Below are 14,760 nucleotides of genomic sequence, written 5' to 3' on the forward strand. Positions count from 1 at the left end.
GATAGGTGCAGCAAACCACCATGGCACATGTATATCTGTGTAACAAACCTGCACGTTCAGCACATGTATCCCAGAACTTAAAGAAAAATAAATAAATAAAGATAAATAAATAAATAATAAATTGGTTCAGTAGGCATGTCTGAGATAGCCATGTTCCATCTCTGTGAAGAGCAGGAGATTCCATTTTTTTTCTGTCCATCTCAGTGGAGCTTGGAGGGAATGGGGAGCAAGCTAGATCAGAGATGAATGTAAGTGAGGAAGCAGCGGAGACATATAACCAAAGATGACCACAGATGAGTGAAGACCAGATACAAATGAGGCAGAACATTTCCCTCTCTGGACTCTAATGTACCTGTGTATAATATTGTCTATCCGTCTAGCACAGACATACTGATGACTGATTATCCTCAAAGACCCACACCCTTATGTTACTGGACTAACATATATCACTGTGTTCCTAGGAAAGCCCTGATTTATGCCAGTTGCCTCAAGCCTAATTGCTAAACAGCAGTACTTCTCACTCTAGAAAGTGTCATGGTTTGCACTAAAAACTCTATCGTGACTTCACTAAGGTCTCAGAACTGAGATGCAACACAGGAGGAAAGCGCTGAATCAGTTGAGGTTAAGAGTTTTCTACCTGGAAAAATAAGAAGTTAAATCTAAAATGGAAATTAAATTCATTAATAGAGAAAATAATTATGTTTTTGGCACTCCTGATAGTGTGTGCTGACATTTCAAATCTTTCCTAATTTAAAAAGCACTCAAACCTGAGAAGTTTACACACTCAAGTCCATCTCACTAAGATTACTTCAATATAATAGGATATATAAAGTTTTAATATTTTATGTACTTAATTTGTCCCTCAACTTTTTAGAGTGCCTTTATTCTATTAGCAAATATAGAATTCACTAATTTATTGTTATAATATGGTGGAGAGCAAGGGATGCTTTACAAAAGGCTTCACAAGCCCTGCTAAGGGAATTTGGAGGGTGTTCAAGGAAGTCAAATAATAGGTTTGTGTTGTAGAGTTGGCTTGAGCAGCAGTGTGGAGGATGGACTGGAGGCAGTCAGGAGTCCGCTGCTGCAGTGCAGATGGGAAATGAGTCTGAACTGAGGATGTAACCAGGGGGAGGCCAAGAGGACAGACTCAAGAGCCATTTAGGAAATCAAATAAAAAATTTTTGGAAACAAATTTTATGCTGGGAGTGAGGAAAGAAGAGATTTGTTGAGTCAGAGAATGAGTTCAGTGTGGAACACGGGGCTGAGGTTCCTGGGGGATGATCAGGAGAAGATGGTGGTTATGCAGGTGAATATGTGAGCTTGGAGCTTGAGGTGAAGCTGTGCATGAGGGGGTCTGTGCTTTGGAAGCATCTGGTTTTAAGAAAACAGGAGGCATTGAAAAAAGAGGAAAAAATATAGTGATTACTATACTTTCTTTTAATCTTACAGTAAATGTAAAAATTGCCAAAATGAGCTTTATATTGAAGTCAGGCTAGAGGACAGTATTCTGAAATAAATAAAACTCAATATAACACTTTATGAACTTTTTCATTGGAATTTATGTTGGAATTTACCTTACACCAGTGTTTTTTCAACTGGGTGCAATTTTGTCCCTCCAGGAGACATTTGACAGTGTCTGGAGACATTTTTCTGCTTGTCCTAACAGTAGGGGGTAGGCAGTTACTGGCATGTAGTGGTGGAGGCCAAGGATGCTGCTAAATATCCTGCAACTTAAAGGACAGTCCCCACCAAACAAAGGACTCCCTGGCCCAAGATGTCAATAGTGCTGAGGTTGAGAAACCCCTGCCTTAGACAATCGAGCTTAGACAATTTTAGAAAAAGAGTTCAAATCATCCTTAAATTGTTTTCCTGATCAAGAAACACCAGAGAAGGACTTTTGCTGTAATGCGTCAAAGAACCTTGATATTCTGGCTGGGAAGTCCATTCCATTAGCCTTTCAACTCAAAAGGATGTTTCCCTGGTTAAGAGCCCTTACGTGCATAGGAGTACTCTGTGACCACACAACATTGAGGGCGCCAAGAATGTATGGTATATTCACTCAGGGAACCCCACAATGTAGGCTAGCAATCAATGCAAAGATAACAAGTTCAATACCATGGGAATAGATGGGAATGTACATACCACCAAGGACATCTAAAACATGAAGCTTGAAAATGGCCATTAAATCTGACTATTGCATTGTTAAATATGAGGACAGAAAGATGTGAGTGGTCAGCAATATAACATAATGGTGAAGGCCACACATTGCTGAATCTGACATTGCAAGACTCCTGGTCCATGTGATTTGGTGCCTAGCTGGTAGAGAGTGTTATCAATGGAGCAAAAGAACACCTAGATCCAGCCCACTGTTTCCAAAGTGACCCTCCACTAAGGGCTTCCAGGAAATTGATACAAATACATTGATAGTATTAATGCCAGGAATATAACACCTATAGGTTTTTTAATCAAATCAATAATTTGTTGATCAATATTTGTTAAAAGTGATGACATTGATTCTACTGGTTTCTGTCATAACGAACGAGAGTAGATGAAACGGATTCATGATTTTTAAAATGCAGTCCTAATACCCCTTATGAAAAACTGGGAACCATAGATAAGAAAGGCAGTTATAAAAGACTGAATGATTCCAAAGAGTCAGAAAGCAAAGGCTGCATGCTTAGAAACTATGCTGTAATGTTTAATTCCTTTTCCCACTGTTTACTAGCTGTGTGGTCTTCAGCAAATTACTCAACCTGTCTGTGTTTCTGTTTCCTTTTATACCTAATAAGGATAAAATCTATCCTATAAAATAGCTGTGAAGATTAAGAAACTATATGTAAAGTACTAGGCACAGCACAGCCATAAAATGTTCAGTAAATGTTAGCTGTTAGAAGAGTATGTATTTAACAAACACAAATGTATATGAACGCAAAATTTAAATGAATTTTAAAAGATAAACTACAAGATGAGAAAAAATTTCACAGCTCCAGTGTTCTACTTTGGAGCTACTTTTGTATACTATTATGCTTTTCTTCTGACAACACTTTGGAATAACTTTTTGAGAGGCAAAGAAGTAGGTGGCCTTCTAGGTCCCTAGACAGCTATGCAGGCATAGAATATTTTTCACCAATATTTTTAGCTGATATCCAAAAGTGACCTTCTGAACAGCCAGATACTCAATATTGTATTCAGCTGTTTAATGTTTCATCATCCCACTCATTAATCACACATAACACTCATTAATCAAGTTACAAAGGAGGATCATTACCAACCGGGGCCATAGTGCAGGAAAATTCCTGCCTGCAAGCCACATCAGTAGGCTTTGCATTACTCCAAAGACCGGGTAGTGGCCAACTGGGGTAGAACAGCATCAACTGGGTGACATTTCTGTGGAGTTCAGAGGAACTGTAAGACCTGGGTAGTTTCTTAAGTTACAGCCCTAAACAATCAGAGAAATGCAACTACAGGGCCATACACAAAGAAGGCTAATAGAGATGAAATACTAAAAGATTCCAGATAACTCTTTTTTGTAAATAAATTAAATATGCCAACATTTGCTATAACAAAATTTGTAAAGTGGGAATTTACCCATTATTTCAGATGAATTAAAGTTCCTAATTTTAGTGCTTTTTAAAAAATTATATTTATAGCATGATCTCGGCTCACTGCAGCCTCTGCCTTCTGGGTTCAAGAAATTCTCCTGCCTCAGCCTCCCGACTAGCTGGGGTTACAGGTGCCTGCCACCATGCTCGGCTAATATTTTGTATTTTTAATAGAGACAGAGTTTTGCCATGTTGGCCAGGTTGGTCTCAAATTCCTGGCCTCAGGTGATCCACCTGCCTCAGCCTCCCAAAGTGCTGGGATTCTAGGCGTGAGCCACTGTGCCCAGCCCACGTTATTGATTTATAGAGAATAAGGATTTAGCTTTCCTTTCTCCCATCCATTCCCTTCACACAATTCCCTCATCCTCCTGATAGTTTCATTATATCTTTTTGTTAGAGTAATAATTATTTGGTAATAATTAGTACTAGAATTACTACAGTTGGGTCATGTAATACACTATGATTACATTTCTTCTATTTCTCCTTCTTTTTTATTCGTTTAGTTTTCTGTCATATACAATACTTCACTACTTCATGACCCAAGCCCATTGACAGAACTCTAACATTACTCTCAGTAGAGTCAGACTTACCGAGTAATCTGTCAGTTCCGTTGTTGTCCTGGAGACGTCCCTATGGGAATCCTCTACTTTCTGCTAAAATCTAGACCAGCTGCTTTCTAGGCTTGAGCACAGCAGTAGACATGCCATCTGCCTTCCCTGTCCTCTGTGGACATTTCTTCATTCCCATGTTGCATATGCTAAACTTTTCTGGTTTACTCCATTTTGTAGGTGGATCATATCCTCCAGCAATTTCATGGGAAAGAGTGCATGGAAGAAATAGATTGCCTAAGTATAATTCTAGGAAGGTGATGGTTTTCATCAGGATATTTAAGTCATTGCCACATTTTCTTCTGGCATCCAGAATTGCAATTAAGAGCTCTAATGCCATACGGATTCCTAATTATTTGTATTGAGCAAAAGTTATCCTTCCTTTTCTAATGTTAAGAACATTTCTTTTGCTCTAATATTCTGAAGTTTCACTAAAATGTACCTTGATATGGGTCATTTTTATGAATTTTGCTGAGCACACCATAGGTTCTTTCAATCTGAAATTTGGTTTCATCAGTTCTGGAAAGTTTGCTTGATTTTGTTTTACATAATTTTCTTCCCCCTGATTTCTCTGTTTATTCTTTGTAGAGCTCTCATTAATATTATTTTTCACACAAGACCCCCTCTAATTGAATTAGTCTTAAAATTTTCTACTGCCTCTCCTAATTTTTCCACTTTGTGAGACATTTCTTCAATTGTAATTTTTTTTGAAACGGAGTCTTGCTCATTGCCCAGGCTGGAGTGCAATGTGCAATCTCTGCCTCCCAGGTTCAAGTGATTCTCCTGCCTCACCCTCCTGAGCAGCTGGGATTACAGGCATGAGCCACCGCGCCTGGCCCTCAGTTGTATTTTTTAAACTCTTTTTGGAAAAAAATGCTAGCCTTGGAATGTGTGTGTGTGTTTTGTTTACTGTGGAATTCTCAATGGCTAGAACAGTGCCTAGTACATTAGAAACTAAAAAAAAAAAAAAAAAAAAAAAAAAAATGTTGGACTGAAAAAGTAAATGCTATCACATATGTTTAACTTTTGGAATGTCTTCTTTCATGCTGTTAAAACCAAAACTACCCATTAAACAATCACTCTCCATTCTTCCCTCCCTCCTGTCCTGGCAACCACCATTCTACTTTCTGTCTCTATGATTTGACTGCTCTATGTTCCTCATAGAAGTAGAATCATACAGTATGTGTGTTTTTTGTAACTGGCGTATTCCACTTAGCATAATATTCTCAATGTTCATCCATATTGTAGCATGTGTCTGAATTTCCTTCCTGTTTAATGATGAATACTGTTTCATCGTATGACTACAGCACATTTTGTCTATCTATTCATCCATCAATAGACACTTGGGTTGCCTCCACCTTTTGGCTATTATAAATAGCGCTGCTATGAACAACGACATAAAATATCTTTTTGAGATCCTACTTTCAGTTATTTTGGATATATACCCAGAAATGGAATTACTGGATGATACATTTTACATTCCCACCAACTAGTACACAATAGTTCCATTTTTTCCACCTCCTTACCATCTTTTCCGCCTCAATAGTGGCCCATCCTAGTGGGTACGAGATGGTATCTCATTGTGGTTTTAATTTGCATTTCCCTGGTGATTAGTGATATTGAGCATCTTTTCATGTGTTTATTGGCCTCAGGCTTGTTGTTTTTTCATAAAAGAATCATCTGTCTTTTCTCCAGGGCTAATAAGAGCAGTTACCAGCATTTTTGGAACAAAGCAGACGGAAGCTGGGGTAAGTGTGTGGCCATCAGTGTACAGATTTTCACCCATCCCTCCTCTTTCAGGATGATGCACCTGCTCTTGGCTGGCCTAGTGTCCCTAAGTCCAGAATCCCTCTTGTTCAACCTGTTCAGAGAGGGAACATCTAGGTGTCTGCTGGGTGAGGGGAAGAGTAACTGCTTGTATGCTAAATGGGAATGGGATTCAAGGAAGTTAACTGTTTCTTTCAAACAATTTTCCTGTTTCAGCCACACTTGTACCCCCACTTTTAGAGGTCACAGTTGACCCATTTCCTAAACCTTTAAGGAGCTCTGCAATACCAGCAGGCTCATTTCTTGGCATTGTCCCCTATGGCATTTATCTGCTTTCAGTTTTTAAATTTTTGCTGTTATTATTTCTTTTCTTCTTATTTTTCTCCTGGGTTTATGTTTTTTGTCCCATCATCTCAATGAGGCTTCAGGAGAGCATGGAGATGAATGTCTTTAATTTACCATTTTAATGGAAAATCCCCATAGTTATTTATTATTATTATTCCTAATAGTATTTTTATTTTCACTTAAAGATAGGAGGAAAGAAGAGGACAGAAGCAGAGACAGAGTTCTAATGAGACATTTCACCAAGATTTATGAAGGTAAGAATAGGGATGGTCTTCCCTTTCCAGGTACATTCTGTTGGTATTTGATGCCCCGACAACACAGTCAGGTCTCCATTTTAACTCTTCCTTGATTAATATTTTCTGCTCAGTTTATCCATTTTCAGATTCTTGTCTGGTGAGAAAACATTGTGAATACAAACCATTCTCAGTGCAAAGGTAGAATCTGACATACATATTTGCTTTACAGAAAACCTTTCAGCAATGCATTGACTTTCTGTTTTAGGACACCTCTTTAGAAGTACTTAGGTGTTTTGGATTGGTTTCTTTCTTCTTTCTTTTCTTTCTTTCTTTTTCTTTCTCTCTCTCTCTCCCTCTCTCTTTACTTCCTTCCTTCGTTCCTTCCTTCCTTCTTTTTTTCAGAGTCTCACTTTGTTACCCAGGCTGGAGTGCAGTGGTGCGATCTCATTGCAATCTCCGCCTCCGGGGTTCAAGTGATTCTTGTGCCTCAGCCTCTGGAGTAGCTGAGATTACAGGTGTGCACCACTGCACCCAGCTAATTTTTGTATTTTTAGTAGAGATAGGGTTTCACCATTTTGGCCAGTCTGGTCCCGAACTCCTGGCCTCAAGTGATCCACTCTCCTCGGCCTGCCAGAGTGCTGGGATTACACGTGTGAGCCACTGCGCCCGGCCCTGGTTTGGTTTCTTTCATCACACTCACCTAAGGCTACAGAAATATCCTTTGTAGTGTCATTTGATTGTATACATACTGGCAGAAGTCAAGAGGGAAGCTACTTGTTTTTTTGTACAACCCTGATGGACTATGGCCTATCCTACTCTGACATAAAACATTGCCAGAAGATTATCTTCTGGGACCCAGAAAAATAACTACTTGCTATTTATTATTACCCACTGTGCTGAGGAAAGCCCTAACATCTACAGAAATTACCAAAAACTCTGAAAGTAATCCTTGATTTTGGGAATTGCTCAAAATTCAAGTTAACATGAAACATTTTAAAAGAATAAACTTTTATGCAAATAACCAATTTAGCTTGTTTATGCAAAACTGCTTTATCCAATCTGCATAAAAAGCCTGCTTAAGCACTGGAATGCCATTATGGTTGGCCATAATTAAGATTCTAACCAGGTATTTTTTGTATGTATAGTAATTTCAGTATTTGTAATACTATATTAAATAACACGTGTATGATGCTTGCAAAATTGGAATTATTAGACTCAATGTATATATGAGGAAACTGAGGTTCAGAATATTACACGAAAGTTCTTTCTAATCTCAAACAGCAAGTAAGAAAGTGAAGAAGCTGGGACACAATATCAGTTCTCTGACTCCATATTCAATGCATGGGTCTATTTCTCAAAAGATTTGCACTGAACTACATAGATGTGGGAAGAAAGATCAAGGATGTAGAAGGACACAAGAAATGAGGGGGAATATAAACTAAGATTGAAAGACAGTAGATGCAGAAACCTCTCTTCACCTTCCCAAACCACTTAATGGCCTCTTCCTAGCCTGGAAATGTAACTGCTATCTGTTTCACCTGGGCCTGGAATTGTGTGTGTTTGCTTGGTGTTTTCAACATGTTGACTGACCCTATGTAACAAGAGCACTCTGAAGATGTTTGCAGAAAGGCTGCCTGTATTTGCTATAACATGTACTAGTTCTAGCAAAACACCAGGAATTGAGGAAAAGCCTATTGCCCATCAGTTTCCAGTATTAATGAAAAACAAACTTATTTCTATAAGGGGGTTGGGGGACATCCTGGTTTCATTTCCACCCAGGCACAGGAGTAAACAGCTTTCTCAAGGCAGTGACCCTCATCCACACAATGGCAACACTCTCAGCTTTAACCCACATGTCTTGTGTCCAGGTCTTCTGCCTTCACTCTCAGGCACCCTGAGCCTCTCTGCTCTGACAGAGCCCTCATTTGATTTGCACACAGAACCGAGTTGAATGCACTCACTTATAGTTAGGACAATCAGAGAACATGGCTGCATTTTGAAGACTAAGAGAAAACTCTCAACATATACTCAATCCTCTGGATTCTTAGATGTTTACAAAGAAAAAGGGGACAGCCTTGTATTATTTTCCTAAAAAACATAGGCGATAGGAGACTAAAGCAGATTTCTTCCTTTTTCTTAAGAGAACGGCTTTAGTCTGAGAAAGGGTAAAGAAGTAACATCCCAGTAAATAAAAAAAAACAGCAACCTACTACTACCAACATGTATGAGGGCAGACTACGACTTCTGTATTAAGGGGAATGATGAATGTTTTCACATTATGGGAACCATTTTAAGCACAACCTTAAAATAGTGCTTTAGAGATAGGTGAAGACATCGAGAAATTTGTCTCTACATTTTAAACCTTTTCTCTCCCACAAGGATTTTTTAGTAAGAATATGTTTGTACTAGAGCTAAGAGAATGTGAAAGAAAATTTCTAGCCTTGAGTGTTGCTGCCACCTACATGGTGGGAAGACTACAAACAAAATCTAACACCTTTCAGACAGGCATCAGCTGCAGTATGTTTTCTATGAAAATGTACTTTAGAAATCCCCAAATTTGTTTATTTACTTCACTATCCTGAAGGCATGTTAGTATTTGTTAGTTTCGCCTCATTTTCTATCTCAAATACTTGCAGACATTGGAGTAAATGGTTTTGCTTAGACTGGTGTGAATACACTGATTATTTGAAATAGAAGCCGATTCAAAGAATTCTTCCTTATTATAAAAAAATCCCAAGTGCAACTTGATCCCCATAGCTATGTCTTAGGGAAAGGATGAAGGTTCTTAATCTCACTGTACTAGAGGTCCTCCCTCTTTCCTACCCTAGCAGATTCTAAAATACAAAAAAAAAAAAAAAAAAAGAAAATGAAATGAAACATTGTTTCCTCAATTGATTATATAGTAACTATAAATTGATGCTAACGGGGATAACATAGATGTCACAATTCTTTTGATATAGATCAGAGAGGTTATTTCTGATAGGAAATGTAGTTGACAGTACAGAATTAACCAGAAACCTCTTTAAAAGCCTAAAGGAAACCTGTGATATGTCAAGAACATCACAGGCTGTCTTTTTATCTTGGAAGGCATCATCCAAGGCCACGATGCTGTTACTGAGGCTGTGTGAAAACACCTTCTCCCTAGAAAATATACATGCAAGATCGAAAACCTGATTGATGACTTTACAGATAATTGCAATTAAAATGATTGCTAAGTGAATAAATGATGAGTTTTGGAAGCATGTGCCAACTAATTATTCCTATTACACAATGTTATGAATATTGGCGTTTTTCTGGCATGCACTTTGTAGATTTAGGCATAGTGTACTATGGACTAAATAAGGACTAATTATCTTTAGTGTTAAAAGCTTTGTATCCTTGAATAAAAATCATTGCTATTTTTCCAATAGCAGGATGCTGAAGACAAAAAAAAAATGACCCTAAAATTGATGTTAGGAAAATATGCTCTGTGCAATGAAAAATAGGCATTTGGAGGAACAATGTCAATGGAAGAATAAAATATGCTCCCGCTTCACTTCCACCCTTGAACTCCTCCTGGTTTTGTCCCTGCCAAGAGGGGAAACATTCATGTGGTCTCTTGACTGACCTCCCCACACCCCTTGTGGGGCTGGAGGTGGAGGCTGGGGTACTGGTCTGAACTACTCTGTGTGAGAAGCCTTGCATATAACGGGTGCCTAATTTCCCTCAGTATACCTCTAGAAGTAGGCCATTTCGGATATCTTCATTGGTTTATGGCTTTAGTTTTCACATAGTATTACAATAACTATTATTTCTTACCATTCGCCTCATTATAATCATGCTTGTAATGATGCAATTGTCACAGTCCATTTACCTGCAGTGTGCTTTCTGGGGTAAAGGTGAATTTATCTTAGACTTAACAAGCAGAATCCAAGAGTAGGTGCTGGCAAAACACAACAAAACAAACAAAAAACAGTAATCAAGATAAATATATTTTAATACAATATTTATAAAAATTAAATTACTGCAAAAACTCCACAACATCAACATTTTACATAAAGATGGTATCTGAGAAGGTCAAGATGAAGGTGAAAAGAGTAAAGGAGTTGTACTAGGACAGGCCTCCCATTAGACACATGCTGTCTTCCAGGGGTCCCAAATTGGATGGGTGTTTCCAGTGGCATGCTCTTACAGACAGACCTGTTAATTTCCAGTTTACCTTCTCCTACCTGCCATCTGTAGGCTCCTTCTTGAGCAAACTACAGTGCGAGGTGATCTGGGGACTATTGTACATGAAGCCATGCAGCTTTGTCTGAAAGATACCTACTCAAGTAAGTTTTAATTTTGCAACTCTTTTGGTTAAGCTAATTTTTTAAAATTACAAAAAACACTAAGTATTATGCAAATGTTTACAAAGCAATGACTTTCTTAGGAAATTAAACACAACTTTTGGCACTTTACATATAAGACAACATTTTGTGGAGAATAAAGGAGTCTATAACACCGCTTTTATATAACTGAGCAATCAAAATGTATGAATATAAAATTTAAAAAATTGAATGAGTCCACTCTGTGAAAATAAGGCTTTAAAATCAGTTGGAATTAATGTAACCTGAACTTTCATTTTAAATACATGGCATAAAATTTAATTTTAAAATACTCAATTATTATAATGTGCCCTCTAAGGATGGAAGAGAAATAGTATCTTTTCTAAAGTGTTCATTATAATAATTATGAAAGGATTTTAAAAATACAGAACACTGGAAAAAATGTATGAGAAAAGAAATAAAAGTCACCAAATGCTATCATCTAAAGATAGAATATTAATATTTAACAAACTGTATTCTACCATTTTTCTAATACCATCATGTTCAAAGCAGCCTTAATTTAGTTTCTAAAATAGTAACAGAATGTTTGATACCTGGGGCTACTTTTTAACTGTGTGTTTCTAACATTATACATTTTTCCTTATATTTGAAGTGTTTAATAGTGCTCACATTGCTTTCTAGCACCTCTGGATGAGCCCTGTGAGAAAGCTCTCCAACACAGGGGAGGGAATGAGGCTCTGACAAGCACAGCAAGCACACACGGCCTGGACACGCTGCCGAGGAGCCTCTGCTTTTAACCCTCCAGGCTTTCCAGGTACTTTTTCCTGCAATATACAATGGAGCCAATGTGAAACTCAACAGCAAGTCAAAGAATCAAGGCTTGCAAATGAAAATATGATATTCCTTTGGGGGATATGCCATATATATATATATATACACACATATATATGTGTATATATATGTGTGTATATATATACACACATATATATGTATGTATACACACACACACACACACACAAATACATTCATAAATATCACCAAGATGATTACCAAAAAAGAAACACAAGACAAAATTTTTAAATAAATTTTTTATTACAATGACAGGAAGACTCCGGATACAAACACATTTGCTAATATAATCACTCCACTGGTTACCTAGGCCTAGACGTACAAAAGGACACCCATATCTCATCAGGAGAAAGACAATTTTGAGTTTCTGGGTGTAGTACCAAGTGGTTATGATCACCACGTACGTGGTCTATCCAGTTAACTGTGTGGCAATTTGCTATTTCAAGTCCTCTCATAACAGAAATTACTGAAATATGTGGAACACCAGTCAATATAAAGAATTCATTTTTAAACAGACTAGTGAATTTGTGTCATAAACACACTTGCGTATGGATATTAGGAGAGCATTGCTTGAATATCTCTAAAACTATTTTTAGGAATTAAAAGCTTTCATAGTTAATGGTATGATATTGGCCTTCAGAATTCATATTGATAAAAGCAAACCTTAGTCATTTAACAGGAATGTTTAAATTTTAGAGATTCTAACATGCGATGCCGAAAAATCCTAACATTTCCACTTAGTAATGTCAGGGTTGTGCCAGTTCTAATTTCCCATAGCTAGTAACATCAGAAAATATTTATCAGAGATTCAATATTGGTTTCATTAGAACTGATAAATGCTAAGTATGGCAACTATTAAAACCTATTGTTATTCTTGTTTCTAAAAGGGAATAATAGGATGTAGCTATAAAAATAATGAAGCTTATTTTTCATAAACATATCATAACCTGAGCGTCCAAATAGATTTTAACAATTAAAAATGCCTCATTTGAGAGGACATACACTTATTTGATATTGCCATCCTTCAAAATGCTTTTGGGAGTCCTTATAATGTCCTTGACAACTGGTATACAACAAGCAAGAAAATATAATCCATCGCCTAACTTGCTACCTTCCTTTATTTTGAAACTTGTTTGAAGTGGCTTTTGACTGTTTCTAAAGGAGGGGGAATATATTTATCAATCAGTTTTCAAAGGATAATAATTTTCCATGATTATTCATATTAATGCTATGTTAGTTTCTAAACTTCAACTCAAATGTAATTTCAAGCAGTAAAATCATATTTTAGGAAACAAAGAATGCACACTTTAATCTACTTTAAGGGAGTCACACTCATTTGACATCTTTATCCTGGTATGTTTATTCAGATCATCATTAATTATAAGTTCCTTAAGGGTGCAGCCCACGTCATTTCAATTACACAGTTCTCTTTTCTAATTTCCCCATCTCCTGTCTACTGCATCCCAGCATAAGACCTGAGGCTGGTCCCATGCTCAAAAATGTTTCTTTAATTGAAGTGACTTGAACTTCTCTGTTAGATACATACATAGATATAGCTATATATCATATATTTAATGCTTTATATCCCTTTTTCAATTATATAGTTCTCTTTTCTAATTTCCCCCTCTCCTGTCCACTGCATCCCACCATAGGACCTGAGGCTGCTCCTATGCTCAGAGATATGTTTCTTCAATTGAAGTGACTTGGACTTCCCTATTAGATACATAGATAGATAGATATAGCTATATATCACATATTTAATACTTTATATCCTTTTTTCTATGGATTAGGCAATATTTATATACATAAGATATGTAGATTAATAATTTTGATGATTTTCTGTAAATCGAGGAACTGTACAATATAAATCATAGTAAATAGATCACCAAAGGCTTTAATAGAAGAGCACTTTATGTCTATTCCTATTTATGCTGTTTGATATATTTCAGTTTTAGAATTCCTGCTAGTCAAGCTTCTTTCTGGGAAAAGACCTACAAGAGTTTATACTTAATAAGGATCAATTGTGATATGCTGTAAGTTGATTCCCCTTCCCTAGTTCACATCTATATGGCCAACAAGATCAACCTTGAGCTAAAGACATTAGCCTCAATGTCATTAGAAGTTCAAATTAACTCAACAGTACAAGGTTGGTCACTGTTATACTTTGTATCTCTTATTTGGGCTAATTGATAACTAAATGGAACTGGGTATTTGTTGACAACATTTCATGCTTAGGGATGAGATTTACTGCAGTAATTGATCCGAATTAAAGCATATCCACTAAAACAAAATATCCTAACCAGACAAATCAAAGTTGGTAAAATTTTAGATTAAATACCTTGAAGCAGTATTAAATTTGTAAGTAAGTATTGTGTACTACATTGGTTTTAACATTGTTTATTATATAATTCAGGGACTAAAAGGATAGGAGAAAATTTAAAGCAGTATTAAATTTGTGTCTGTGGACTGGCATTCCCTGTTGGAAATATTAACAGAAAAAGTAAGAAACAGGAATAGAGAATGATCTAGGCAATATTTTTCTAAAATTAGATGAATATGAATATTTTCAATCAGTATGTATTGCATTGTAATCAGCATGTATTAAAATCACTTTAATACATGTTGGCTAAAGTATTAGCAAATCCACTACAGCCTAATAACTTGACCAATAACAACAATGCTTTTATACAGTAATAAACAAATGGCATCTTTTGGATTTCTTAATTTGTCCAAATTCAGCTCCTACTGATGAGATTCCATTTAAGACACCTTGCAGGGGCAGACCTTTGCTATCCATGAATGATGCCTTGGCTCACCTAGGAAAAAAGCAGATATCTTGGGTTATATGGTGAAATCTAAAAAGAGAAAAAAGAGAAAGACCAAGAGGAGGGGAGGGAGAGAGGAAATGAAGAATAGATACAGAAAGGAAGAAGGGAGAGAATGAGGAAAAAAAGAAAGAAAGGAAGAAAGGTATTGCTTATAATTTCTACATGTCTTTTCCATCCTAAAATAAGACAAGTTAATATAATAAAAATATACTTGTCTT

General features: G+C 36.7%; 1 protein-coding gene and 1 long non-coding RNA gene across 14 annotated transcripts in view; one reads left to right on the forward strand and one right to left on the reverse strand.

The window, feature by feature from the left end:
• The window catches only part of LOC105370826 (uncharacterized), a 107,205-nt gene that overhangs the window by 57,430 nt on the left and 35,015 nt on the right, over positions 1-14,760 (forward strand). For all 3 annotated transcript variants that reach the window (XR_007064645.1, XR_007064643.1, XR_007064644.1), the window contains exons 2-5: positions 5,906-5,958; positions 6,508-6,576; positions 10,780-10,868; positions 11,547-11,679. This is a non-coding gene — a long non-coding RNA (uncharacterized LOC105370826). The remainder of the gene's footprint in view (positions 1-5,905; positions 5,959-6,507; positions 6,577-10,779; positions 10,869-11,546; positions 11,680-14,760) is intronic.
• Positions 10,517-14,760, reverse strand: part of WDR72 (WD repeat domain 72) — a 249,138-nt gene continuing 244,894 nt past the window's right edge. For all 11 annotated transcript variants that reach the window (NR_102334.2, NR_102335.2, NR_102336.1 and 8 more), the window contains one exon: positions 10,517-14,530. Coding sequence is in view for 8 of the 11 variants with exons in the window: in XM_011521436.3 (XP_011519738.1) it covers positions 14,475-14,530 (56 nt within the window). In the remaining 3 variants the exon portion in view is untranslated. The remainder of the gene's footprint in view (positions 14,531-14,760) is intronic.

The sequence above is a fragment of the Homo sapiens genome, chromosome 15 (genome assembly GCF_000001405.40).
Source record: "Homo sapiens chromosome 15, GRCh38.p14 Primary Assembly".
Lineage (NCBI taxonomy): Eukaryota > Metazoa > Chordata > Mammalia > Primates > Hominidae > Homo > Homo sapiens.